This window comes from Homo sapiens, chromosome 11 (assembly GCF_000001405.40).
Source record: "Homo sapiens chromosome 11, GRCh38.p14 Primary Assembly".
NCBI classification, from domain to species: Eukaryota; Metazoa; Chordata; class Mammalia; order Primates; family Hominidae; genus Homo; species Homo sapiens.
This window is the reverse complement of record NC_000011.10, coordinates 114,353,471-114,381,347: the sequence shown is the minus strand read 5'-3', so window position 1 is coordinate 114,381,347 and position 27,877 is coordinate 114,353,471. Positions and strand designations below refer to the sequence as shown.

The 27,877-nt window shown below is 40.3% G+C and overlaps 2 long non-coding RNA genes across 2 annotated transcripts; one reads left to right on the top strand and one right to left on the bottom strand.

Annotated features, from left to right (window-relative positions):
* Window positions 1–75: 75 nt before the first annotated feature.
* Window positions 76–8,601, bottom strand: LOC107984391 (uncharacterized). Its single transcript, XR_001748393.1, has 3 exons — window positions 5,792–8,601; window positions 994–5,110; window positions 76–905 (listed from the first exon to the last, which is right to left on the bottom strand). It is a non-coding gene; the product is annotated as an uncharacterized LOC107984391 (long non-coding RNA).
* On the top strand, window positions 1,309–20,713 carry LOC101928940 (uncharacterized). Its single transcript, NR_120567.1, has 3 exons — window positions 1,309–1,355; window positions 2,358–2,608; window positions 17,181–20,713. It is a non-coding gene; the product is annotated as an uncharacterized LOC101928940 (long non-coding RNA).
* Window positions 20,714–27,877: the final 7,164 nt, after the last annotated feature.

Sequence of the window (27,877 nt, the reverse complement as noted above, 5' to 3'; positions counted from 1 at the left end):
GAGACAGGGTTTCACCATGTTAGCCAGGCTGGTCTTGAACCCTGGACCTCAGGTGATCCATCTGCCTCAGCCTCCCAAAGTGTTGGGATTACAGGTGTGAGCCACCACACCCAACCCCAAATTCTTTATCTACAGGATGTTGGAAAATGAGGGAAACTAGTTATGGAGCTCCAGGTATTTAACATGTATGATATACTTTAATTATTACAAGAAGCCTGTGAGAAAGGGGTCTTTATCTCCATTTTTCAGAGCAGGAAACTGAGTCACTAAGTTACTAACCCATATTGTCACAGCTAGTGAGTAGCCAAGCTCAGCTCCAGATCCAGGTCTGCCTGCTCGTTTCAAGAGCTCATTTCAAGTTCTACCTCTGCAGAAAAACTCCTTCAAGACATCTGCCTACAGTGCAAGCAGCAGCCTGTGTAATTAGTGTGGTCTTTTGGTAAAGATATTTCAGTCTTGACATAGAACAAAGGGAAGGTATAAGTTAGAAACAAGTTTTTAGATCTTCCTTTCCCCTCTAAAGAAGTAAATGACACTTATCTCAAAGAAAGATCAAGTCTTCGTAAGCTGGGAGGAGAGACTGATCTTTAAGAGAATCAAGGCCCTCGGCAGTGGAGAGAATTTAAAGAAAGATCAGAAGCTGACATAAGTGTGTCAAATAGGAAGTTGAGGGAAAAGGAAAAGATTTCTGTTTTCAAAACTGGTCTAAAGCGCTCGGAGACTGTGTCTTGTTTTGTCTAAGCATGTGAGTTGGTGGCCGGAGCATAAATCAAAGATAAAGTTGTGTATACCTCTTTTTGGAGAGCATAGCAATAGCAGAACGCTCAGATGAGAACGTGCTTCTGTTTTACTGCATCCAGGGGTCCAGCCTCCTTTGGTCCCTCAGCTGCCTCATGTTGCCGGAGCTGTTAAGGAAGATTTCATAATTTGCACTGCTCAGTGACAGAACATCCTGATGAGGAGACAGCAAAAGTTGACTTAACAGAAAAGCACCTCAAGCACAAATCTGTTCCTCAGGAGGTTCCACTGCAATAAATGGAGGGAGTTTCAGAAAGAGGACCCAATTAATGCTCTTGACTTGTGTCCTCTTCAGCTCTAGGGACCAAGTGTGGTAACATGGAAAGGGCATGTCTAGGCTTTACTGTGGGAGAGAAATGGGTTCTTATCCCAGCTCTGTCATTTATAAATGGGTGTTTTGCGTGCCCCTCCTCCCAGGGGCTCCACGCCTCCATTGTGACTCATTAACTTAGGTAAGAATGAAGGGTCTCATTCAACCCCTCATTCTTACCTAAGGGTTGTGTGAGACCCCTTCTCCAAAGCTTTTTGCATCTTAAGAAAGATAATTCCTAGGAAAGGTAAAGGAATGATTCTGTTATCTCCAGCAGTGTAATGCCTAGTATTTTTGGCCTCCTGGCAGGCAGGGAAGACACTATTTTTAGGTAGAGATTGGGCTTAGCAGCCTTGGTCAGATGCAGGTGCCCAGGGCAGCTGTACCACGCTCGGCTCAGCTCTGTTCCTGTGTGCCCTCATGAGCTGCCTAATTCTTTTCCCAAACATCTGCTTGCTGTCAAGTTAGGAAAGCTACACCTGCTTTCCACTTTCTGAGGGATGTTGAGAGGATTCGTGAAAGGCTGTAATGAAGGGAATTGGGAGATTTTCAAGACAGATATTGTTTAATTGCTTAGGTTGTGTCTGTGAGTAAGCTTAGATGTGGAGAGCTGACAACTGCCTGGGGCATCAGTCAAGGTTCCTGTTCTGGAGCACAGGGGAAGCCCCAGGCATGGTCCAGGTTGCCTCTGCCACTCTGCAGCGTAATGGACATGAACTCCTGCTAGCCTCATATTAGGCTGGTTGCATGCCAAGGCAGGGGCGGGGGATGTGGCCCCTTAGGCTCCATGGTCCTTACCTTGTGAGACTCCCCAGAAAGGAGGGGTTTTAATAGGAACAGAGGCTTGATATCAAACACCTAATGTGTCTAATGTGCCTACCATCCTTGCCTAATTTGCTCAGAGTAGTAAGATTAGGCTGGATAATTCAGCCAGACAGTGGGGTAATTTTAGTTTTTCACAATTGTTGCTTCCATTAGTGGTTCATTCAATTATATAGCAGCTATAATATATTTGTAAAATACTTTACAGTTTGTAAGAGGTTGCCTCCTCCTTTTTTCTCCTTGGCTTCCAACAGTTCTGTGAGATATACCCAATTAGGATAAGATTGAACTTTAGGGACTTGAAATATGCAATTGCTCAAGCAAAATTATTTATTTCATAAACTAGCTTAGCAAGCAGCTCTCTTCCCTTCAATTATTCAGGGAACAGAGTCTTCACCATCTTCTTTCTTTGTCCAATTTTGTGTAGGTGCCTCACCTGGGTCATAGCCAGTGGAAAAAGGAAAGCTTATGATATCTCTTGGTCTGGTATTAAGAGGCCAGGCTGGAAAAGGAAGGCACCATTTCCATCATATTCTTCTGGAGAGAACTTAGTCTCATCTTCTTCACAGAAGATGGGGAAAGGTGGCCCAGCTGGTCAGCCCTGTGCCTGGCTGCATTTCTGTTACTATGGAAGGAGGGAAAAAGGAAAGCCAGCAGTGCATGTCACGCTTACATAAGGTCAGTATTAGTCTTTCTTTCTACAGACTAGGAAACAGGGTTAGAGAGGAGAAGTGACTCAATCAAGGACCCACAGTGCAGCTAGCAAAGAGACAGCACTGGAGCAATGGCATTGGTTATGGCTCCTCGGTTCTTTTCTTATGGCTACCATTCTTCCAAGACGTTGGGACAGATCATTTGAAATTAGAGCTGCCCTGGAAAGGCTGGGGTGTTATTAACACCCACCCAGGAAGTCAAAAGTTGTGGGTGCTGGAGAGTGACAGCATTGTCACTCCTTCTGCCTTCCTTCCCTCCTCCCAAGGACAAAGACTCCAAGCTGGTGGCTGCACTGCCTGCTGGGGTCCTAGGCTTTGGAGAGTGACTGCGTACAGATATACAGAATCAAGCAGAGATATTGGTAAAAGCCCTTCTCTCACTCTTTTTACTAGCCTTCTCAGGTCATCTACCTCTGCCACAAATGTTTTTCTATGACTATTCCAGTTCCCACCGGCTTCTATTATTTTAGAATTCCTTAGGCTCTTGACTGTTTCTCCACTATAATCAGTCTACGGAGAGTAGGAATTCAGTAGGCAAAAGAGACACAGATTGAAGCAATTATGCTCTGTCCTCTCCTGCATTGGCATGCATGACAATGACTATCCCAGCCAGCTCCCTCCTACCAGGACTCCTACAGGAAATCATCCTGAAACCAGTGATTTTACGTGATGTGACTCAGACATTTCCAAGCATCAGCAGCCTGTGGACTCAAGCTTGGGGTTCCTTGAGATTCAAATCAAAATCTTATTAATTCTGGGCTTTGATGACTCATAAAAGTAATTCCAGTTCCTTCTAAAACCCCAGCCCCGAAGCCCTTCTGAGAGTATGGGAGAAGGGGCTGTCTGACACATGTTCATGTTTCAGGGCCGCCTTCTCGGGCCTCTGCTACTCTAACATGCACTCCCTCTGTGGGCCTCTGCTCCTTCCAAGGAAAAGATACTCAACCCTCATTGCTCATAGTCCTCTGTGCCCCAAGCTCCCTGACCTGTCAAGGGTTGAACAGAGAAACACTTCCTCTACTGTTTCACGCCCTTAGGGGACTCCCACAGCAGGGTTGCTTGGGCCCTGAGGGGTTGCCAGTCCAGTGAGATGGCTCACTGAGTTCCACACACTTCCCAGAGTGTGGGTGCTGCTAGGATGACCAGGCCTGGTAAGTCCCAGGACCAAGGGCTGCCTACACCTGCCCATGCATTGACCCTAGGCCCTGACGCTCATTCCACATGTTCTCTCACCTTCGGATGAATTTTCTGTGCCCTGCCCTCTCTGCAAATTGGCTCTCCTGGAGCATCCATCCATCCCTAGTTTGTCACAATTCAGTGTGTATCCCGGGCACTGACATGACTTACTCTTTTTCCAGGAGGAATCTTGGCTAATAGAGCCCAGGAAATTAAATGAGGTTATAAAACCGTACCCAAAGCTGTGTCCAATCTCAGCCCTAGTCCATCCCATCATCAGTACCACCAGAAAACAAAAGTACCACCCCCAAGGGTCTCCAGGCACCTCCTAGATTAATGCTTTTCTTTATACCAATACCTTATTAGTGTTGTTGATGCATAACCTTTCAGTCATGGCTATTGCTTTCTTCCTGGGCTCCATCTTCAGATACATTGAGAAATAAAGGAAGTATTTATGCACAAATTGTATGGCTACAAAAATTACCAGGTAGCCCAGGCATCTGTCTTTATGGAAAATTATTGATTTGTTCTGCCAATTCCCAAAAAGATCGTGAGAAAAGTCTTTTGATCAAGCAAAGCTGATTAGATTCACTGCAGTAAAGGCCTTGACAGTCTCAGTATCTTCTCAGAGAGGAAAAATGAGAGAAGGATATTCTTAGTATTTTAGGGCCAGGGCTGGGTGACTTAAGGCAGGTCTTTCAAGGCAGAGAACTAGTTTGTATTGAGCAGAGTTAATGACAGGAGAGCTTTGGACTGATGACCGCACAAAGGGTGCTCTTAAAGTGAGTATTGCCAAGCAAGCTGTCAGTCTTTTGATAAGTAAGCTAGTTTAGTTGGCTCACAGCATTAACTTCCAGAAACAATTTTTTTCAGAAACCATTAGCTAAGTTACTTTTGCCTAGTCCTAGTCTGATTTAGCACAGAAACAGGGACATAAATTTCAGTTCCAAAAATTTCAATGTATTTGTATTACACATTCAACTCTAGGTTGTCTTTATTTTTAAATTTTAAGTGTGTTTATTTTTTCTCCTTGGCTGGATTCAAAGCTTCTTTAGGACAGAAGTCAAAGCTTACATGTTTTAATTTGGCAGTATACAGCACAGGGTTGTGCAGAAGCATCCCACTCACTCAGCCTCTCTTCTTCCATGGAATCTTTTGTGATGCCCCCTCCAAGTACTCAGTAATTTCACATGACTTTGTTTACACCACGATTTTGGTGCATGTTATCCAGGGCAAGCTAGAGCTTTCTTCTCTCCTCTTTTTCTCCTTCACACTTTCTTGGGAGGGGACTCTTTGGTAAGACAGAGTAAAGAGACAAGGATTTGGTTAATATAATAATTCACTGAAGTAAATCCATGAGAAGCAATCAATATTAGCAGGAGGGAAAGTGTTTATTAATTTGTGAATATAGAGAACTAAAGCCTCTTCAGCAATTCCAAGATAGATTCCATTTGATGCCGCTCCTCCAGATGGAGCTGAATCTTGGGGTTGGGGAATTGGAGAAATTGAACAAAATCAAGGATCCCACAGGAAAGAAGAGTGAGGGAGAAAGAAAGGTCACCCTGATACTGATGGGCAGCTGATTAGAGACTCACTGGGAAATATAGAGGAACAGCCTGCTTCGTCCTTTGTAGCTGCATACAATTAGCCTTCGTGCCTGCCTGTTTCTTTGCTAGATTAGGAGATTCATGAGAGTGGGCCAGGACTATGGCTTACTTATTTTGGTATCCCTGGTGCCTACCAGGGTGACATCCCTTCACAATAAGGAGTTTTCAACAAATTGATTATGAGGCCGACTTTCTCCATTTACAGGAAGATAATCAGCCTTTCTGTCAACTGCAGCACAATTGGATACGTTTGTTGTTTAGATGTCCAAAACTTTGCAAAAATGGCTGTACCCCATTGTGTCTATCTTCATGGTCTAAATTTGGCAGTCATATATATTAGCCACCCTGTAATCCTCCTCTCTTACCTCCTTCATTAAGTGTCTCTTCAAAATGTCTTTTGAAGTGCAGCATCATTATATCATTTTTACTGATACCAGTCCCAGGTCCAGTCTTACCTCTGGCAGTTTCCTTAATTGGTGATTAGGCAACATTGGGTTTTTCTTCTTCCAACCTGCCAGTTTCCTTCATTTAAAGCAAATTCTGTCAAATGAATAATTGCCCATAGCACAATTACCAAACACAAAACGAAACCGCAAATATGCATTAGCTTACCAGGGTAGTGCCTAGTATATTAAAAAGAAAGAGATAAGGATATGGGATTGACAAGAGAATGGAGCATTTCATTTTTTCATTCTGTTTTATTGCTGCAATAACCCATTTGATGGCCTCCAGTTTTCACAGCATCAGCTTCCTGCAATGACACTAATGAAGAAATGCTGCCTTTTGTTCATTCTTTAACCAACTGTGTTGCTCTTTAATGGGAATATGGCACTTTCCGCCCTATTCATGCAGAGTTATGAACAGCTGAGTCTCTAGGGTACCTCTGATGTGTACAGCACTCTTTTCCTTTTAGGATTTGTCTGATTAGATGGTAAATACATTTCCCGTCAATAAATTCAATGTTCTAGATATTTCAAATCATGGGTAGAAATAGGGATATTTTTCCAGCTGGGAAAAAATAAAGCCCAAGGGGGCAGAGTGATTATCTTATTTTTCACCACGTTTCTCTGCTTTGTGGAAAATACTGTTTTCCTTTTAATTATTTCCTAATCATGTTCTTCAGTCTGTTCCTTATTAAGGCACCCACATTTATAACCATTTTGTTTAATTATTTGCACATGACTGACTTCTAAATAGTTTCTCATTTAAGCAGAAAGTTATTCTGCCACTTTGCCAGAATGTCCACTCTGGCTTGATTTCCCACAAGGCTCATTTAGCTTCTTCTCTATTTTCTTCTTTGGGTTCCTTCCATTTGCTCAAAAGTGTGGAATTTGATCCTATGTCAGTTCTCAGGGACGCCAAAATAAATGAAGGCTAGGTTTAAGCTGCCAGAACCATAAGGGTGGTGAGGTGAACATACTATCTTCAATTCAGCCTGACCTCCTCTCATGAAATGTAACAGAGTACCAGCTTAGGTCCAAACTAGCTGTGACATAACCTCACAAGGACAAGACCTGCTTCAAGATCCAGGGGTAAAGGAAATATGTTCTGGGGTGCAGGCAAAGAAGTGGATTCCCCTCTCCTTCCCTTTATGAGTGTTTTATTTCTAAAGGATGATGAACAGATTTGGATGTTACCACACAATAAATGTCTACATCTCACAGAAACATCAAATCGAATAGAAATGAATAGGCATTTCAAATGAAACTTCTTGTATGATATCAAAATAGGTAAATAGATCAAGAAATTTCTTTTCAGTTGTGGACAAAGAAAAACTGATACAACGTTTCTAAATAAAAAAAAAACTTTATTTTTCAAATCTTACTGAAATTGTTGAGTATGAATGCCTAGCACAGGCTTGCTGACATTATTATCGTAATTACTATTGCTGTTATTAGCAATTCAAATCAACAAACATTGATTGAGGCACTGTTATAAAAGACGGAAAGAAACTAAATGACAAAATTAAATGACATAGCCCTTGAATTAAGAAGCCAGCAAGACAGTAGGAGAAATAAACATGCAAACGACTAGCTATAAAGCAAGGTGGAATGGCCTAAGTTCTAAGTAGGCAACCCTGAGGAAGGAACGGGTAATTCTAATTTGGGGTGTTGGTGAAAGAGATAATAGGTAAGCTTGGCACTGAAGTATCTGAAGGTTTTTAGGCAATGAAAACTTGTTGGCTTTCTAGATTGCGGGAACCGTACAACCTAAGCCATAAAGGCACGAAAGTGAATCACATGTTCAGGGACTGATGGGCAGTCTCATGTGCCTGGAGCTGAGGGTTGTAGAGGAATGTGTAGGGTAACAGGCTGGAAACATAGCTTAGGCTTGGCCTGAGTGCCATGCCAGTACTTTGTACTTTGTGGAGGTGACATGATGTACCACAAACAGTATAACAGAGTGAGTAAGACTTCAAATCCCAACTCTGACATTTGATAGCTTTGTGAACGTGGGCACCAGTTTTTTAATCCATAAAATGAAGATAATAATTGTAGTTACCGCCTCAAATTGTGAAGATCAAATATCTGTGAAAGAGCTTAGCACATCTCCAGGCACAAAGTAAACTCTCAGAAAAGGGTAGCTATTATTACTGTAAGTATTTTAATCTTGTAAATAGAATACTGTAGGAGATACTAAGAATTTACTGGAAATACAAGGAAGGAAAAAAAGAAAGAGGTGCCTTGGAAATTGTTGCAATGTTAAAGAGAAAGTTGGATAGGGAATAGAGGTAACAAAATTTAGTGGCTTATAAGATGTGAAGTGTAAAAAAAAGTATAAAATGAATCTAAGTTTCTAGTTTATATAGTTGAGAGGACTGTAGACTGTGTTGCTATTATTTGAAAAAAGAACTTTGGAGAAAAACAAGTTAGGGTTATTGGTGAGGAAAGGTGTTGTTCTGTTCGGTTTTGGACATGATGAGTATATTCATTTCCTAGGGATGCTATAACAAATCACACAAACTAGGTAGATTAAAACCACCAACACTTATTGTCTGGTAGTCCTGGAAGCTAAAGTCTAAAATCAAAAAGGCAGCAGGGCTGTACTCCCTCTGAGACCTGTAGGGGAGAATCTTTCCTCGCCTCTTCTACCTTCTGCTGTTTGCTGGCAGTCCTTGGTGTTCCTGGGCTTCTAGCTTTATTACTCCATTTTTTTTTTTTTTTAGATGGAATCTCGTTCTGTCACCAGGCTGGAGTGCAGTGGCACAATCTTGGCTCATTGCAACCTCTGCCTGCCAGGTTCAAGCGATTCTCCTGCCTCAGCCTGCCCAGTAGCTGGGATTACAGGCATGTGCCACTGTGCCCGGCTAATTTTTTGTATCTTTAGTAGAGACGGGGTTTCACCATGTTGGCCAGGCTGGTCTTGAACTCCTGACCTCATGATCCGCCTGCCTCAGCCTCCCAAAATGCTAGGATTACAGGTGTGAGCCACCGTGCCCAGCGTATTACTCCAATCTTCGCCTCTGTCATCACATGACCTCTTCTCCACATGTCTGTGTCTCTTCTTTTATAAGGACACTAGTCAGATTAGATTAAGGGCCCACCCTACTCCAGTATGACCTCATCTTAAGTAAATTGTATCTGCAACAACTCTATTTCCAAATAAGGACACATTCATAGGTAGTGGGGGTTAGGGCTTCAACATATCTTTTTGGGAAACTCAGTTCAACCCATAATATTGAGTTTCAGATGCTTAGGGCCCATCAATGTAGAGATGTCCAGTGGGAAACTGAGATGTGTAGGTCTGGGGCTCAGGAGAGAGGTAAGAGCTGTACATGTACAGTTTAGGAGTCGTACCTTGAGGTGATAGTTGAAACATGGGTGTGACCATATGAAACTGAACGGAATAAGAATAGAGAGTGCAAAGAAGGAAAAGCATACAACCTTGTACAGTTCTTCTCATGATTATGCCAGCTTCTGCTCCACCACAGGCCAGGAATTACTGCTGAGGATAGGCCTGGTAGTGGGTTGTTGCTGAGCAAGGGCTGAGCCGGAATTGGCGTGGAATACGGGCTGACAGCAGGAATAGCTCTAAGTGGTTCACCTGGGATATGCGGTTGATGTGAGATCAAGATTGATGGCTGAAAACAAGGTTATTGGAATAGAAAACTTACATAGACAACTGAAAGCCAATTTCTCCTTCCTGGGGAGAGCTGGACCAGATAGTTATCTAGAGCAGTGATTCTCAAAGTGTGGCACCTGGAGCAGCAGCATCACCATCACCTGTGAACGCGTTAGATATGCAAATTCTTGGTGCCCATTCCAGATCTACCCAATGAGAAACTCCAGTCCAGGGTAATCTGTGTTATAACAAGCCCTCCAGGTGATTGTGGTATGCAGGTAAGTGTGAGAACCAGTCGAGAGTGTTAAGCACCAGTCCACAGACTGAGAAATTGGAAGTAGAAGGAATACTGCTGGGTGAGATATTTCACAACAAGCTGCTGCCCAGTGCTCAAGTCCCTTTGCAGATTATTTTCTAAGTCCAGAAGAGAGGAGCAGGGTTTTAAGTTAACAAAATGATTAATAATAGCTGAAGATTAGTGCAATGACATCTGACTGTACCATTGCAATTATTTGAATGTAATGCTAATCATGGTGTAGATTAGTCTTTATTATGTTTATTACTGTACACAAGGTCAACATTTTATTGGGGACACAGTATAATATAATTGGGACATAAGATCACTCCTGTAGATGATTGTGGATGGAATATCTCAAGAGGTACCCAAGATGACCAGGGGATTCAAAGAATATGTTAGGATTTCTATATTTCAAAAATATAAGAAAAATTTAAGGCTAAATAATTTTTAATATTCAAATTGACCCTGGCACCCTCAGTTAGTCCATCTATCAGATGGACACGTTTCTCTGGTTTTCCTAAAGGGGAAGAGGGAATTCCATAAGGTTGAGGGTTTGACAGTGGAGCCCTCATTCATTCACTTCCATTCATTATATTGCAATGTACATTGCGGTTTACATGTGCCTGGTTAAGTGGATTTTTGGACTACATTATCCAGTTTGACTTAAAGTCACCATACACCAAATAGACAAGTGATATTCCTGAAAGTGTGGACCGAAGTTGAATTCTAATAGTGAAAGTGTAAGGGAGGGCAAGAAAGTGGAAGAGCTAATGCTTCCCCTATGCCTGCTTGGGCAGCTTAATTCAGTAGATAAGAGCAAGGATTCTGGAGCCAGCCACCTAGCAGCTGTGACTTCAGGCAAGTTACCTAACCTCTGTGTGCTACGGGTTTCAAATGTTTAAAAAGGGGTTACTAATAGTACCCATCACACAGGGCTGTTATGATAATTAAATAAGCTAATATTTTTGAAACTCTTAGGGCAGTCTCTAGTGTAGAGCAAATAATATGTTGTTATAATAAAAAATGGTTTCAGTTTTTTGCCAGTGACTTCACAAGACAAAAACAAGGACCTATTTAGATCTAATAGAAAGTTAGCCAAATTTTTTTCAATTACCAAGAAAACTATTGGAATTATGGATTTAAATCTTCTGACATAAACTGTGAACCTAGCCCTCAGTATATATTGTACTTTCAGCTCTTAGGAAATGATAGTATGAAGTCGTCACAATTAAATTTACATTCAAAAGCATTATGCATCTATATCTCATTTTAAAAAATTTTCTTAAATGTTTTATTATGAAGACAATATATTAGCACATTCGTACTTGTATATAATTTATACATAAATAAAAATATACAGTATACAGTATTGGGGGTTCATATTTAAGGCATTGTGGGTTTGTATGTATGTGAGTGTTTTGTTTTATTTAAACTGATAGCATGCAAAATCAAAAGAATTGAAGGCAACTTCTCTAGAGCAAGGGTTGGCAGACTATGGGCCACAGGCCAAATCCAGCCCACTGCCTGCTTTTGTAAATAAAATTAATTGTGGCCGGGCATGGTGGCTTACACCTGTAATCCCAAAACTCTGTGAGGCTGAGGTGGGGGAATCGCTTGAGCTCAGGAGTTGGAGACCAGCCTAAGCAACATGGCAAAACTCTGTCTCTACAAAAAATACAAAAAAATTAGCTGAGCATAGTGGCGCACACCTGTAGTCCCAGCTACTGGGGAGGCTGAGGTGGGAGGATCGCTTGAGCTTGGGAGCCAGAAGTTGCAGGGAGCCAAGAATGCACCACTGCACTCCAGCCTGGGAGACAGAGTCGCACCCTGTCTCAAAATGAAATCAATTGCAACACAGCCGTGTTCATTCTTTTACATATTGTGGATAGGCGCTTCTGTGCTATAATAAGAGAACTGAGCAGTTGCAACAAAAACTATATGTCCCACAGAGCTGACAGAAAAAGTTTGCTAAACCCCTGGTTTATACCATTCATTATCCATGGTAGCTTAGCTGAATTGCAAAATTATATCTAAAGTGAGTCATATAACCTCAGAATATCAAGCTTTGCAAGGACAGACCTGTCTGTTTTTGGCAGACATCATACCTGCCACAGGTTAAGTCTGTGACATTGTGGCTAAGTACACAAACATTGCTCGTTGCCAACTACCAGCTTCTCCTTGGGGAGCAGGGGTATTCCAGCAACACGTAAACTGCAGAGAGAATTCTACACAGTCCTAGGCTTCTCCCTGGGGCATGGAACATCCTCCCTAAGGACCCCCTCTCACATTGACCCGCAGACTGTCAGCCACAGTACAGAAATTTTCTGCCTGCATCACAGGTAAGGAAGAATTCAAGCAGATATGGTCTGTTAGCACAGGGAAGGTTTGTTCCTATCTCTTTTGTCCACAATACATTTGACCTGAGGCATCAGACTAAAAACATATGGCTAATCTTTTTGGTCACTTAATAATAGGACAGTTCAGATCACAGATAAAGTGTCTGTCACCATTTACAGATAATCAAGTTATGCTGGAAAGAGAGGAAGCAAGGTTTTTGGCCATGTCTGTGTGTGTTTCAAGGAATCTACTGTTTTAGACTCGTTTTTGTTTCATTAATAGCCTTGGCCCAAGAAATCAATCAAACATAAAGCGAATATGAGAGTTAGTTGTAAAAAGTATTGAAAATTTAGTAATCAATGGATTGCTTTGCACTGTGGATTTTAGATGACTGGGAAAATGCATCAGCTGAAGGATTTGATTCAGTTACACCGTATCTATCATCTACCACTCTTCAGAAGTAGGTCTTTCACCACTCAGATAAATCAAGTCACAGGAAATGCACTGGAGAAAGTAACTCCTATTGGAAGTGTTCTTTTTTTTATTTTTTTGAGACGGAGTTTAGCTCTTGTCACTGAGGTTGGAGTGCAATGGCACCATCTCGGCTCACTGCAACCTCTGCCTCCCGGTTTCAAGGGATTCTCCTGCCTAAGCCTCCTGAGTAGCTGAGATTACAGGCATCTGCCACCACGCCTGGCTAATTTTGTATTTTTAGTAGAGACGGTGGGGTGGCGGGGGGGGCGGGGGGGGTCTCACCATGTTGGTCAGCCTGGTCTCGAACTCCTAACCTCAGGTGATCCACACACCTTGGCCTCCCAAAGTGCTGGGATTGCAGGCGTGAGCCACCATGCCCAGCCTGGAAGAGTTCTTAATCATATTCTTCCAATGCTAGTAATACAATTGTTTGATTTTTATTGCCAAACCCTATCACTTATTAGATACCAAATCTACAATCAAAGGATTGTTTCTTAATATATATGTTCTTCTTTTTTAAAGTATTTAGCTGTGTAAATTGAAGTGTTGAGAGCCAAGACTTCACTTAGTCTCTGGATGCCACAGGTAAGATCATCCATGACTTAATGACAACCTGAAACAGCTAAAAAGCATAAAAAACGAAGACTCTGGGACTTCTAGGTGCTGTCAGTGACAAGGACACTGTTTGTGAATCTCATAAAACAACAACAGCAGCTCTTTCTACACTGGCATAGGGGGTTAGTTGTCTAAACTCAGGAGACTACACCAGAGCTAATGTAAAACAAAGCTTAAGAATCAGGCATAAACAGTACCTAGATGGAGCTTCATTTCTTAGGCTCTAAGTGTCAGCTCAGGGAATGGGCTTTGCTCCTGAGAAAAGCTGTTTGCTATTTGTTCCTAATGATGGTTAATGTATGAACAAACCATACTCCCAGAACTATAACTGATATCATCAATGATGCTGGTATACAAACAAAGACGCTAATGAAGCGAAGCCATGTGGCTTATGCTTTGAAAAAGCCTGTGGTAGAGGCAGGAGGGGAAGAGTTTGGCTAAATGAAGTCATTTCTCAGAGCAGTAGATAAAAGGGTAGTGCTAGAACAAAGCAACTTCTGAAAACAATTACATATTTAAATTCCCTTTACCCTGTGTGGCAGGAAAATTTTATCACTTTCTCCTCTGACATGTTAAAATACATAAAGCTTTGATGTCCTTAGGGGCTCTGATCTCCAGAGAGAAAAATAAGAGGCCGAATATCCAAGAGGGCATTTTGGCACCAGTGATGGACAGGTAGGACATTCCGCAAACAGCTCCGTCACTCATCCCTCCTCTGCCCACGGAGCTGATTACACATGTCAGCTGTGCCTCTCTGCCTGGTTACCCTCATGTTCCATGTTGATGCCACGGCTGCCTCAGTGACTTGTTTTGCTCAAAGACCATTAACGTTCTGAGGCTTACAGAAATGGAGCTGTTCTACAGGGCGGGGGGAAAACTGAATCTCTGCATGTTTTGCTACCCTTGAGAAAATGGCTGTCCCTAATTACACAAAATGATAGAGAGAACAGTTGACTAAAATCACTGCAAATGACAGTTATTTCTCTGAATAGCCTAAAAGAATAGGTCACCCTTACTAATACACTAACAGCATACTTTTCTGTATATGCAATTTCCGTCACATTCCCGGAATGCTTGGGCGCTGACTGACATCTTCACTGAGCAGGGAAAAACAGTCTTTTTTTGGGTCTTCTTCTTGTCGAAATCTCTAGCGATGCATTTATATACGGACTCTGTGATTTGTTTCAGTGAGTAAGTCATGCATTTGTTGTAGGAACAAGGAGACAGCTTTGAGTTAGAAAGCAAGGGCTTTATGGCCATAACCATAGCTGTGTGTATAGAACAAAACCTAAGGCATTCGTCTTCCCTCTTCATTTGCATGTCAAGTACAGGACAGTCTGGAACTACCAATAATGCCAGCTCCCTGATACCATCATATGTTTTCACCCCACCTCATTTTAATCTACTGGACAAGCAAGGAAGGACTGCAGGTCATTGATCGATTTTGTTACAGTCTTAACTACAGATACTTAGCCCAGCTAAATGTCTGGATGTGCTACTAGATCAGACCTGCAGTTGAGGTGAGGGTTTGGGAACCTCAGCCCTTGTTCTTTTTGGGTCAGTGACTCCATCTCCAGGGGAAGCTGCGGTAATCAGATTGTGGGCTGGTTGCCTCAGGCAAGCCACCTTTGTCCCTGGGGGGTCAGGGCTGAGGTGAAGGAGCATCCTCCTCTTCCACAGAGAAGATGCCGCAGAAATGGCTCTAGGAGTGGGGCTGCGGCTCTCCGAGTTGCCCAGCGGGATCTTTGAGGTGGTATTTATTACAGGCCAATGTACTTCAAGTACCATGTATTGGGCATCTATGAAAAGGTAGGAATGGCAAGGAATTAAAATAAGTATGTTCTACAGATAGTGTTTCTCAAGTGATATGCAGGAAGGGCATATCCCACATGCTCCCAACATCCCCCTCTGCTGAGCAAGTGACCCCTGTCACTCTTTCTAGGAAAGTCCCACTGTGGGGAGGATAGGAAAGAGCATAACAATGCCTGCCACCAGGAGGAAGAGGCCCCAGATGTCAACCCATTGCATGGTTTGCAGGCATCGGGATCACCGGGAAAGACTCAAAGAATCAAGTCACAGGCACTGGAGGGAACAAGGCTTTACTCACATAGCGAAGAGACAAGATCAGGCTTAATAGTAAGCATGGGTCCCCCATGGCCAGCAGGTCTCACCTTGCAGATGACGCAGGGAGATGGTCTGCATGCACCCTTCTTGTGCTGCAAGTAAAGGACCCGTTTCCTCCATAGCAGTGTGGTTGGCCAGGGGCCATATAACCCATATACTTTAAGCAGAACACTGAAGTACACATCAAGCCCGGAATAGGGAGAAATCCTCCCAAAGAAGACAATAAGCCCAGCACAGGCCATAAAGGGTCCTTATCAGCATGAAAGGAAGTGTGCCAGGCCCAATGTACATTCTTACACAGCTTGCAAGGGTCCAACGAACTGCCCATGACTGCCTTTCCTAACATCCCACACACCAAAGAGTGGTAGGTTGGTGGGACAGGATGTGTGTGAAAAAATACTTATTGTTTTTGTAATATAAACAACAGAAAGTGAATTTTAACTTAATCTTCCTGACTGGTGAGGGTGCAAATGAAATGCAGTGATACTCAAGGGGAGTGGCAAACCTAAAGCTGGAAAGGAGACTATCTAGTGGAGGAGTCTGATACTGAAATAAGCCAATGTTAAGGCAGACTGAGATAAGTGTGATAACTTGTCCCAGGAAAGATGAACAATGAAGTATCAAGGTATCGCCTTTTAAAATTTTTTAATAGTAAATTTTCTAAATGTAATACCAGGACAAAAGAGGAAAAAACATTCTGTGCACTTCAATATAAATATAATTCTAATGCATTTATAAGAATAACCATAATTTGCGCTAATTTGGTTTTAAAACACATCTGTAATCCCAAGGACTTTATTATTGGTATGAAATTTCTGAGGAACTATCTATAAGAAAAGAAAAAGATGAGAAGAGAGACAGAGTATTAACGGTATTTGTGTCCACACTTCTATTCCCTGAAATTTTCAGTGTATCCTTGTTTCTAGTATTTTTTCTGATTCTGTGAACTACCTCAGTCTCCTTCCAATAAATTCCATTTTGAGTTTAAACTAGTTTGCATTGGGTTTCTTTCCTTTCATTCAAACAAAAAATTCCTTAAGAGCGTATCTTTATAGATAAGACTTTTAATTCTGGATTGGGAATTAGAGTATCTCAATTCTACTTAACCTATGCTATTTCCTAGTTGGGAATCCTTGATAGTCACCCAACCTCTCTGACCTAGTCTTCTGGCTGAGGAGAGATCCTCAGAGATCCATTTCTTATAAATCTACAACTCCGACAGGAGAAAGCCTCATCTGCAGAGTCAGTTAAGAAATTCTGACCTTCTAGGGTGGGTTATTTGGAGGCCCCGTTATTTAACCTTTTGGTTCACAGTTACGTTGAGGTTTATTATACTCTTGTAATGTGTTATACTTTCCATAATTAAAAAATAAAAAAGGTACAATTCTTGCTTTCTCAGACCATAGCAATGCAAGGATAACCGGGGAAATTGAATAATAAAAACTGGTTTGGGTCTGGAACTACCTGTGGCTGAGTAGGTAAGTCTGTCTAGTTCTGGAGTTTAGCCTTGGGAATTCCATCTGCCTCCAGATAAAACTCACATTCTTCTACATCAACTTCAATAGTAATAAAAATAATCATTTCCTCTTCATCCACCTCATCCCTGTATCTTCTTTTTCAATTCATTCAGGAATTTGTTGGAAGAAAAGAATGCAACTTATTGGCTTGCTCAGTTTCCTAAAAATGTTACTATGCCTGCCTCATGGATTGACCTTGGTATTGCCATTGGAGCTTCACCTTGTCAGTATCACACCTCCTGAGATGGGGAAGGGCTCTCTCAGCAGTGTTGCTGTCACTTACGAGGATTCACTAACATGTGATTTTGTTTTCTCATTTTTTTATAGCTCCCTCCATCAGGAAACTTAAGACCAACTCCATTTGATCTGATCAGAGGACGTCTATAAGGACCAACACAGTGTCACATTCAAAAGCATCTTTCTCCCCCTCCAATCAACCAGTGTCCTGGGGCCTTCTTACCTCTGGGTAAGTTCTTTGCTATCTTGGGCTCTCCTAGAGGTGGACAATGATCTTCCTTTTGGTTGAGAGTCCTAATTGAGGAGCCTTAAGATCTGACCATTTGTCTAAAAGTCCTCTAGATAACTTCTCCCAAGTTTACATTGGTCCTTATGCAAATACACCTCCAAATGGCCCATCCCAGAATGTCAGAATTTCTTAACTGTACCCTGGAAACAGAGTCTCAGGGCAAACCAAGAATGTGTCCTGGAGTGGACTACCCGAAGCACAGTACTTATACATTCTCTTTCACAGAAAATGAGAAGGTGGCCGAGAAGGAAAGGTGACATTCTTACAACTCTAAATGGTGCTCAGTGTTGTTATAAATAAGATAAAGCAAATATGTGGTTCAGGTATATAGAGTAAAAGATTAACATGTATGTAGGCATCTCGGGGTCTGGGGAGGGATGATTGATTTTATCTTGCCTTTATTCTTCATCTATAGGCAAGGTTGTCATCAACACAGGTCAGTGGAATATTTGACATATTCTAGGCTTGCAGGCTGAGATTTCAGCTTTTGTTCATAGGCCTAGTTTATATTAATTGTTCACAGTTATTAACTGTATATCCTGCCTGCAGCCACCTTGGGATGCCATTTTTAAAAACTTTTTTCTTCAGCTTTTTCTTTCCTCCAGGAGTTGTGGTACACCACCCTCCCTGCATGTATTCAGCAACCTAGAAGCTGTCTGAACCCTGTCCTTTAGGGTTTTATAATGACTTCACTACAGAGACACGATTGATTAAATTATTGGCCATTGGTGATTAACTCAATCTTCAGCCCCTCCATCCTGGAGACTGGGGGTGGTGCTGAAAGTTCCAACCCCTAATCACGTGATTGGTTCCTCTGGCAATCAGTCCCCATCTCTTCAGGAGTCCCCACCCATCAGTCATTTTATTAGCATATCTTGAAAAAACTTCACTTTGGAGATTCCAAGTGTTTTCAGAGAGGTGTGCCAGGAAACCAGGGCAGAGGCCATATATATGTATTTTTATAATCTCACAAGATATTAACAGAATATAGTTTAAACTCTATAAAACGTTTTAAAGAGGGTTTGTTCTGAGCCAATATGAGTGACTGCAGCTCAGGGATACACAGTCTCAAGAGGTCCTGAAAAAGTGAGCCCAAGGCAATCGGGTTATAGTTTGGCTTTATATATTTCAGGGAGACAGAAATTGCAGGTAAAATCATAAATCAATGGAATGTATATATTGGTTTGGCCTGAAAAGGTGGGACATCTCAAAGTAGGGGCTTAAAGTCATAGGTGGGTTTTAGGTGTTCTTTAGTTAGCAATTGGTTTGAAGCAGTGAAGCTTTATCTAAATACTTGAAGTCAGTAGAAAAAAAAAAAGCTTAAGATACACAGTCTGCTATCTGTCATGTGATGCTACACTAGAGTCTGGTTGGAAGGTAAGCCACATTATACCAGGTTACTTAAAACAGACACACACACACACACACACACACACACACACAGAGACACATTAACGGGATTTTATGGTGTGTGACTTAACCCTGGCCTTGCATAGACTTAGGTTTTTTTGTAATTTGGTATTCTATTACCACAAAAAGCCTGTTTTGTCAGTCTTATGACTTCTATTTTAACATTAATGTTGGTCACTTGTGCCTACGCTCCATGATGAGGCGTGACTGACTTCGCTTCTCATCATAACAAAGAACTCAGATTTGTGGGTTTCACTGGAGTCCCCTTGGCTAAGAGGGGGTCTGTTCAGTTAGGGAGCTTAGGATTTTTTTAGCTTATAATATTACTCTGTTTTCTACTAAAAGTGTAATCATTTTAGCTCTTATATTAGGGTATATAACTTACCTCAAATTAATTTTTTTGTAGGTAGGGTATAAGATGGGGCCAAGCTTTATCTTTACATATATATATATTTATATACACACACATATATGTTCACATACTCAAATATATATTTGTATGTGTGTGTTCAATTGTTCCAGCATCATTTGTTGAACAAACTTCCCTTTTTTCATTGAATTTATTGGGCATCTTTGTTTAAAATCAATTGACCAATACAGAAAATTAGCTGGGCGTGGTGGCACATGCCTGTAATCCCAGCTACTGGGAGGCTGAGGTGGGAGAATCTCTTGAACACAGGAGGTGGAGGTTGCAGTGAGCCAAGATTGCACCACTGCACTCCAGCCTGGGGAACAGAGCAAGACTCCATCTAAAAAAAAAAAAAAAATCAATTGACCTATACTTATACAGGTGTGAGGTATACCTTATAGATACAGGTATTATCACTGGGGTTGCATTGGCTCCATAAATCAACAGGGGAAGAACTGACATCTTAGCAATATTGAGCCTTCTGTTCCATGAAAATGGTATATCTCTGCATTTATTTAGGTCTTTTAAATGTTTACTCAGTAATGTTTTTTCTTTTTTTTTTTTTTGTCAGGGTCTCACCCTGTCACCCAGGCTGGGGTGCAGTGGTGTGATCTCAGCTCACTGTAACCTCCACCTCCCAGACTCAAGTGGTCCTCCCAACTCAGCCTCCCTAGTAGCTGGGACCACAGGTGCACACCACCATGCCTGGCTGATTTTTTTTTTGTATGTTTGCAAGACACAGGGTTTCACCATGTTGCCCAGGCTGGTCTACAACTCCTGAGTTCAAACGATCCTCCTGCCTCAGCCTCCCAAAGTGCTGGGATTACAGGTGTGAGCCACCACACCCAGCCCATGTTTTGTAGTTTTCAACATATTTTGCATGTCTTTTGTCAAATTTATTCCTGAGCATTTTATTTTTGACACTATTACAAATGGATAAAAATGTTTCCGATTGCTTGCTGTTAGTATATAGAAATACTGTACAATTGATTTTTGCATGTTGACCTCATATCCTGAGATCTTGCTAAACTTATGTTTTAGTTCTATTAATTTTTGTTTCAATTTCTTAGAACTTTCTACATAAAAAATAATATGGTCTTCAAATAATGTTTTACTTCTTCTTTTCCAATCTTTATGTCCTTTCTTTCTTCTTGCCTTCTTGCACTGGTTAGGACTTTTGGCATAATGTTAAGTAGAAATGATGAGAACAGACATCTTTCCCTATTCCCAATCTTAGTGGGAGAATGTTCAGAGTTTAGCTAATTTAATGTTAACTATAGATTTTTTAATAGATGCCTTTCATCAGATTGAGGAAGTTTCCTTCTATTTCCAGTTTGCTGATTTTTTTTATCATAAGTGGATATTGAATTTTGCTAATTGCTTTTCCTTCAACTACTGAGATGTTCATATTGCACTGCTTCTTTATTCTGTTAATATAATGAATTACACTTTTTGATTTCAAATGCTAAACTATTATTGTATTCCTAGAATACACTCCATTTTGTCATTCTTTATGTATGTTGCTGGCTTCATTTGTTAATATTTTGCTGAGCATTTTTGCATGTATCTACAAGAAATTTTAGCCTATAGTATTCCTTTCTTGTAATAAAGGTCACATAATATGGAAGTGACTGGGGTTGTGGGAAAGTATATTAAGGTTGATGTGCTCTTTGGTGACTCTAAAATTATACCAGTAGTCAATCAATTACCCACTCCACCTTAAGACACTTTATATATACAGTTTAAACATTGCTTTAAAAATATAGTTAGTGTAGTGCCTTAGATGATTTCAATCACTCAATGCAAATGACTGCACAGATTTGATAAACTGGACAGAAAAAGGTAATTAAGATGGCAAAAGAAAGAGTTCAGCCATCAGCCTTATATATTCTCAGAAGAGGGAAGAAGAGAAAAATAAGTTGGATTTTTTCCCATTTCATTATCATTTTATTATGTTTATATTTGCACATTTCAAAAGTGAGAAAATTCAACTCATTGAAATTGGAAGAAAAAGTTTTTCAGGCCATCTCAGTAATTCTTATGCACAGAAGCATTGAAACCATTGGCAAGCTCTGTCTGGCAGGTCCTTATTAATGACAAGTCTGTATGGGTTTTTTTTTGTTTTTTGTTTTTTGTTTTTTTGACAGTTACTTGGTTTAGTTTTCATTTGAGGATCTCCATTTTAAAGGTCACTGTCCCACATCTCTATCTTAACTTTAAAAAAAGACATTTGTATCTGGCTGAGAGCTACCAGAAGGGTAAAAACAAACAAACTGATGGAAAAGAGACAAGTTAAGCGTCTTACATTGTTTTCAGATGTGAAGACAGTGGGAAAAATATGGCATTAATGTGTTAAAAACACACACATTTTGACAAAACTGACAACAAAATCTTTGAAGAGAGCTGCCTCCTAAGACAAAAAGCATCCTTGTCCTTACTTAAGGACAATTTTGAGATCAGAGATATAAATGAAGACATGTACAAGACTGTGCTTTGAGTAGCAAATTTTCTAACATAATTAAATGAATAATTATTGAGCCATATGATAGAATATAATGCAACCATTGAAAGTCATCATGAAAATATGCAATGTCATAGGAAATGCCTATGATACTGTAACAAGAAATTCAGACATACACACATCCCAATACAGTGGGCCAAGTGAAATAATTAATTAAAATTAATTAAAAAGAACAATCCTCAGATACTAGGTATAAACATAGAACAAAAACTAAAAGGAAAACACTAAATTTGTAATGGTGGTTACCTTAGTGTGATACAAATAAATGATTTTGGTTTTATTCTTATAGTTTTCTGCATTTTTAAATTTTTTTCCTAAAACTGGTATTATTTCTCTAACAAGAAAAAAATATATAGAAAAATAGATTTTTTTAGATGTCAGTTTGGGAAGAAGTGTCACATGTCATACATGATACAAGAGACTAATTTCCCACTCAGCTTTAGAGATGTACTTGTGAAATAGCTGTATTTTAGCACAGATAATTTACTTGGTATCTTAGTATCTTAATGATAGTTCCAGTGAGCCATTTGGTTTTTGAAGGACAGTTCAGGGAGCCACATCCTAACAGCTTGACCGCTCTCATTTCTGGCATGTGGAGGTGCCAACTTCCTCATTCCCTGCCCTCTTAACACCACAAGCTGTCAGTTTCCCAGTCACTCTGAACTGTTGGTAGCTTTACAGGCAGGTTGCTGTGCAGTAGATCTGTGTTTCTGATAAATACTGGGTTCTGTTTTGCATCCAGGCCAGGTATATGAGGCAATCAGCTGGAGCCAGTACATGGACATGTTTCATTGTTCTGTCTGGAGATACAGTAGAGAGAAAAATGCTGGGGGTTTGGCAGTGGAGACCTGAATTTGAGTCTGTTTATGACATTGGACAAGTTCTTAACTGCCTTGGGCCTCAGCTCACCCTGAATGGGTAAATTAAATGACCTTTGCCATACCACTGTGTCAGAGTTGTGAATTTCAAAGAGTGCATACGTGTTATCTATAACTTGATTCTAAAGTTTATAGGGGCCATGTGTGGTGGCTCACGCCTGTAATCCCAGCAGTTTGGGAGGCCAAGGTGGGTGGACCACCTGAGGTCAGGAGTTCAAGATCAGCCTGGCCAACATGGCAAAACCCTATCTCTACTAAAAATACAAAAATTAGCCAGACGAGGTCACAGGTGCCTGTAATCCCAGCTACTCAGAGGCTGAGGCAGGAGAACTGCTTGAACCTGGGAGGAGGAGGTTGCAGTGAGCTGAGATCGCACCACTGCACCACTGCACTCCAGTTTGGGTGAGACAGCAAGATTCCGTCAAAAAAATAAATAAAAATAAAAATGACAATTAAAGTTTATAGGGGAAGGCAAAACAAACAACAACAACAACAACAAAACCCTCACAGAATAGCCAATACAATATTGAGAAACAAACTTGGAGGACTGAAAGTACCCAGCTTCAAGACATACTATAAAACTACAGTTATCAAGACAGTGTGGTATTGGCAAAAGAAGAGGCAAATAGATCAATAGAACACAAGAGAGAGGTCAGAAATAAACCCATACAAATACAGTTAACTGATCTTTGGCAAAGGAGCAAAGGCAATTCAATGGAGAAAGGATAGTTGTTTCTTAACAAATAGTGCTGGAACACATGTACATCAACATGTAAAAATATGAATCCTGACATAGGCCTTATATCTTTCACAAAAATTGACTCAAAATGGATCATAGGCTTACCTGTAAAATATAAAACTATAAGACCCCTAGGAGATATCACAGGTAAAATCTAGATGATCTCTGCTTTGGGGATGACTTTTTAGATACAACACCAAAGGATGATCAATGAAGGAAAATATTGGCAAGAGAAACTTCATTCTGTTGGGGTGATCAGACCCAACACCAGGTCGTGGGGGTGACAAAGTCCGGCGGAGCCAAAGGATGGAGAAAAAGACAGTTCGAGAGAGACAGGTGGGACACCATCTAGTTTACAGAGGCTGCGAAGGCCCCAAGCTCTGGGAGCCCACGCTATTTATTGGTAATCCAAGAAAGAAACAGGTGGTGAGAATTTGGAGGTCAAAAGGGCACATTGCATTAAGCACATGATTTACAGCTGTGATGGTTCAACATTTATATGGAACATGTTCTGCTACTTGAGATAATGGGAATAGGAGACTAGGAGCCTAGGAGGGCTAGAAGCAAGGAGCCAGCAAGTCGAGACACATTCCAGAGGACATTAGGCAGGCCCTGCCTCAGTTTCCCTCCCAACATTCAGCTTTTTCCCAACACATTCAACTTAAAAAGTTTTGCTCTGTGAAAGACACTGTTAAGAGAATGACAGATGAGCCTCAAACTGAGAGAAAATATTTCAACCCAAATGAGTTGAAAACACAAACCTGCTTACAAATGTTTATAGCAGCTTTATTAATAATTGCCAAAACTTGGAAGTAACCAAGATGTCTTTCAATAGGTGAATGAATAAATGGAATATTGTTCAATGATAAAAAGAAATGAACTATCAAGCCATGAAAAGACGTGGAGAAACTTCAATGCATATTGCTAAGTGAACAGTCTTATAGTGCTACATACTGTATGATTCCAACTATATGACATTCTGGAAGACGCAAAACTACGGAGACAGCAAAAAGATTAGTGATGGCCAGGGGTTGAAGGGAGGGTAAAATGAGTAGATGGAGCAGAGAGGATTTTTAGGCAGTGAAACTGTGCTGTAAGGATGTACTGTAAGGGTGGGTGGACACATTTGTCAAAACCCGTGAATGTACAAGAGTAAATTCTAATTCTAATAAATTTCAGGTTTTAGTTCATACTGGTTCATCAGTTGTAACAAATGTGCCACACTAATGCAAAACATTAATAATAAAGGAAAATGGGGGTTGGGTGGGAAGTGTATATGGAAACTATATTTTCTGTTCAATTTCCTATAAACCTAAAACTATTATCAAAAACAGTCTATTATTTTTTAAAAGTGTATGTGAAAGCCATTTCTAAGTAAAGCACTAAAGAAGGATATTTTGGCTACAAGTAATAGAAAACTCAGTTAAAATATATGTGTGGTTTTTTGTTTGTTTTTCAAGACAGGGACTCCCTCTGTCCCCCAGGCTGGAGTGTGCAGTGATACGATCATAGATTACGGCAACCTCGAACTCCTGGGCTCAAGGGATCCTCCCACCTCAGTCTCCCCAATAGCTGGAACTACAGGCCCACATCACCATACCCAGCTATTTTTAAATGGTTTCGTAGAGATGGGTTCTTGCTATGTTGCCAGGGCTGATTTTGAATTCCTGGCCTCAAGTGATCCTCCCACTTGGTCTTTCAAAATGCTGGGCACCACTGTGGCTGGCCTATATGTTTTCTTGATTGTGCACACCTAACAGTAAAAGAAAAATTGTTTGAGAATGCACTCAACAATTTATATAAAAGTATGTATTCATTTATATATAAAGTATACACATTACCTGTATCAATGTTATGTACATTTTATAAACATACATAAAAATACAATTTTATACATTTTATAAATGTATATAAAAATACAATTTTAACAATATAATAAATATAAATAAACTTTAGAAACAGTTCCAGGTTTTATACTTACTACTGACATTTTTAGCGGGGGTACTCTGCTTTATTATTTTTGAAACTTGAAAAATATTTCAAAATTAAACATCTGAGAGTCTAAATTTGTTTTTGTACTAGGTTTTGGTGGCTGTCAGAATAGAAAAAATCCTTTGCAAATGTTCATAGATCTAAATGAAAGAAGTTCATAACTGGCTGTCATTTCTTAAGAATGGTATTTTACCAAATGGTAATAAAAACACATAAAATGTTTATGACGGCTTTATTAATAATTGCTGGAAGTAAATCTTGGAAGTAACCAAAATGTATTTCAATAGGTGAATGAATAAATGGAATATTATTCAACGATAAAAAGAAATGAGCTAGGGGTGGATTGCGAGGTCAGGATATCGAGACCAGCCTGGCTAACATGGTGAAACCCCGTCTCTACTAAAAATACAAAAAACTAGCCAGGTATGGTGGCGGGCGCCTGTAGTCCCAGTTACTTGGGAGGCTGAGGCAGGAGAATGGCATGAACCCGGGAGGCGGAGCTTGCCGTCAGCCAGGATCGCACCACTGCACTCCAGCCTGGGCGACAGAGTGAGATTGTCTCGGAAAAAAAAAAAGGAAATGAGCTAAAAAGAAATGAACCACCAAGCCACAAAAAAACATAGAGAAGCTTAAATGCGTATTGCTAAGTGAAAAAAGTCAATCTTAAAAGCCTACATACTGTATGATTCCAACTACATGACATTCCGGATGAGGCAAAACTATGGAGACAGTAAAGAGATTAGTGATGACCAGGGGTTGAAGGGAGGGTAGAATGAGTATGTCAGTCCCATCCCCAAATTGTGAAACTGGTCAGTACATTACCAACTCCCCAAATGAAAAACATTGATCTTGAAAATTATTATTGGAAGGTTAGCTTTTATTTTTAATAAATTTGCTCAAAACTCACTGAAATACTCTGTTAGAAAGATTTTTGAAAAGTCGGATAAATTTGTGGTCTTACGCATGATGACACAATGACATACTTTTAGCAACAAAATACATAGTAATGAAAACATTTCCAAACATCCTTTAAAAAATACTCTGTCTAAATTTTGAAAATTATATTATTTAAGAAAATATAATCTTTGAGTCCACTTAATTGGGCATAGGTAAATTATAATACGTCAAAAGTCGCATTATGCTTATGAAACTCCCACTCCTGTCTCCTGGCTCTGTCTGGAGACACAGCTTTCTGACAAATAATAGACGAAGTGGAGCTACTGATTTCAATTTGTATTTTAAATATGCTTTTAAAAAATGAGGTGTTAACACATAGAAAGAAATTGATTTTCTATTGTTTTCTTTCTTCCATTTTGGAGATCACTGGCTTAAATTATAAGGGTTTTATTATGTAAATATGTAATATAATTTTATTATATAAATATAATATATATCACACACAATATAATAATATGAACTTATTTTATTATTATAAATCTAAAACCATCTGTATGGTTTTAGATTTTGTTCTCAGGTCAGGTCTGTCCCCTCACAGTTGCAAGACAGCAACTTCAAGCATCCCATCCTCAATCCATAATATTCAAAGGCAGGAAAAAAGTTGCTTTCTCTTTGTCTCTTTTTATGAGTGAAAAAACCCTTCCCATAAGCCCCCAGGAGGATTCCTCCTCATCCCTCATTGGCCAGAATACATCAAATATTTATGCCTGCCAATCACTGGCAAGGAAGATGAGGTCATAGACTAATCATGATTCATCTTCTGGGTTCAGAAGGAGGTCTTTCTCCTTAAACCACTCAAAGAAAATAAGATTCTGCTTGCAAGGAATGATGCAAGGAATGTTGTTGGGAAGGGAGCCAACAGCATCAGTCACAATCCTGATGCAGATATGATATTATTACAAAGACAGCGCACGTGTTAACAGAATAGTGCTCAGGTAACATGTACTGCTTGTTTAACGTGCACATCTTGTTTACAGTGAAGAAAAATTCTGGGTCTTGCATGAAATTATGGAATCATTATTTTCTTTTTATTCATGCTCATAAAATGCATATACAATGGGAGGTGTACGTTTATTTCAAGAATATGTATTTTCAGGGAAGAATTTCCAAATGCCATCGGATCACATTTAAAAATCCAGTATTCCCTTACATTTAAGTGCTGTGCTTCTTACGTGTCACTGAAAAACAAAAACAAAAACAAAACCTAGCCTGATATGAATTCTGCCACATTTGCCTACATGTTACTGATAATCTCTTGTTTATTGATTGCTGTTTGCTGCCAAAGCGAAATGTTTCTTTAAGTAGAAAATGCTGTATTAATGCGAGATAATAGTGGTCATTGCCAAAATAAGCTATATTTCATTTTCATGGTCATGGTCCATATATAGATGATCTCAAACCCAGGATAGTCATTCTCAAAGAATGATATCTAACCTCATTCTGTGATGTGCTGGCAAAAACCCAGATTCAATTAAAGTGAACAGCGTGCATTCTGGAAAATATAGGAGACAGGTTGTAAGCCCTCAAGGGTGCAGAAATCTTTCTTACTTTTTCCATACCATATCCCCAGTGCCTAGAATAGTACCTGACAC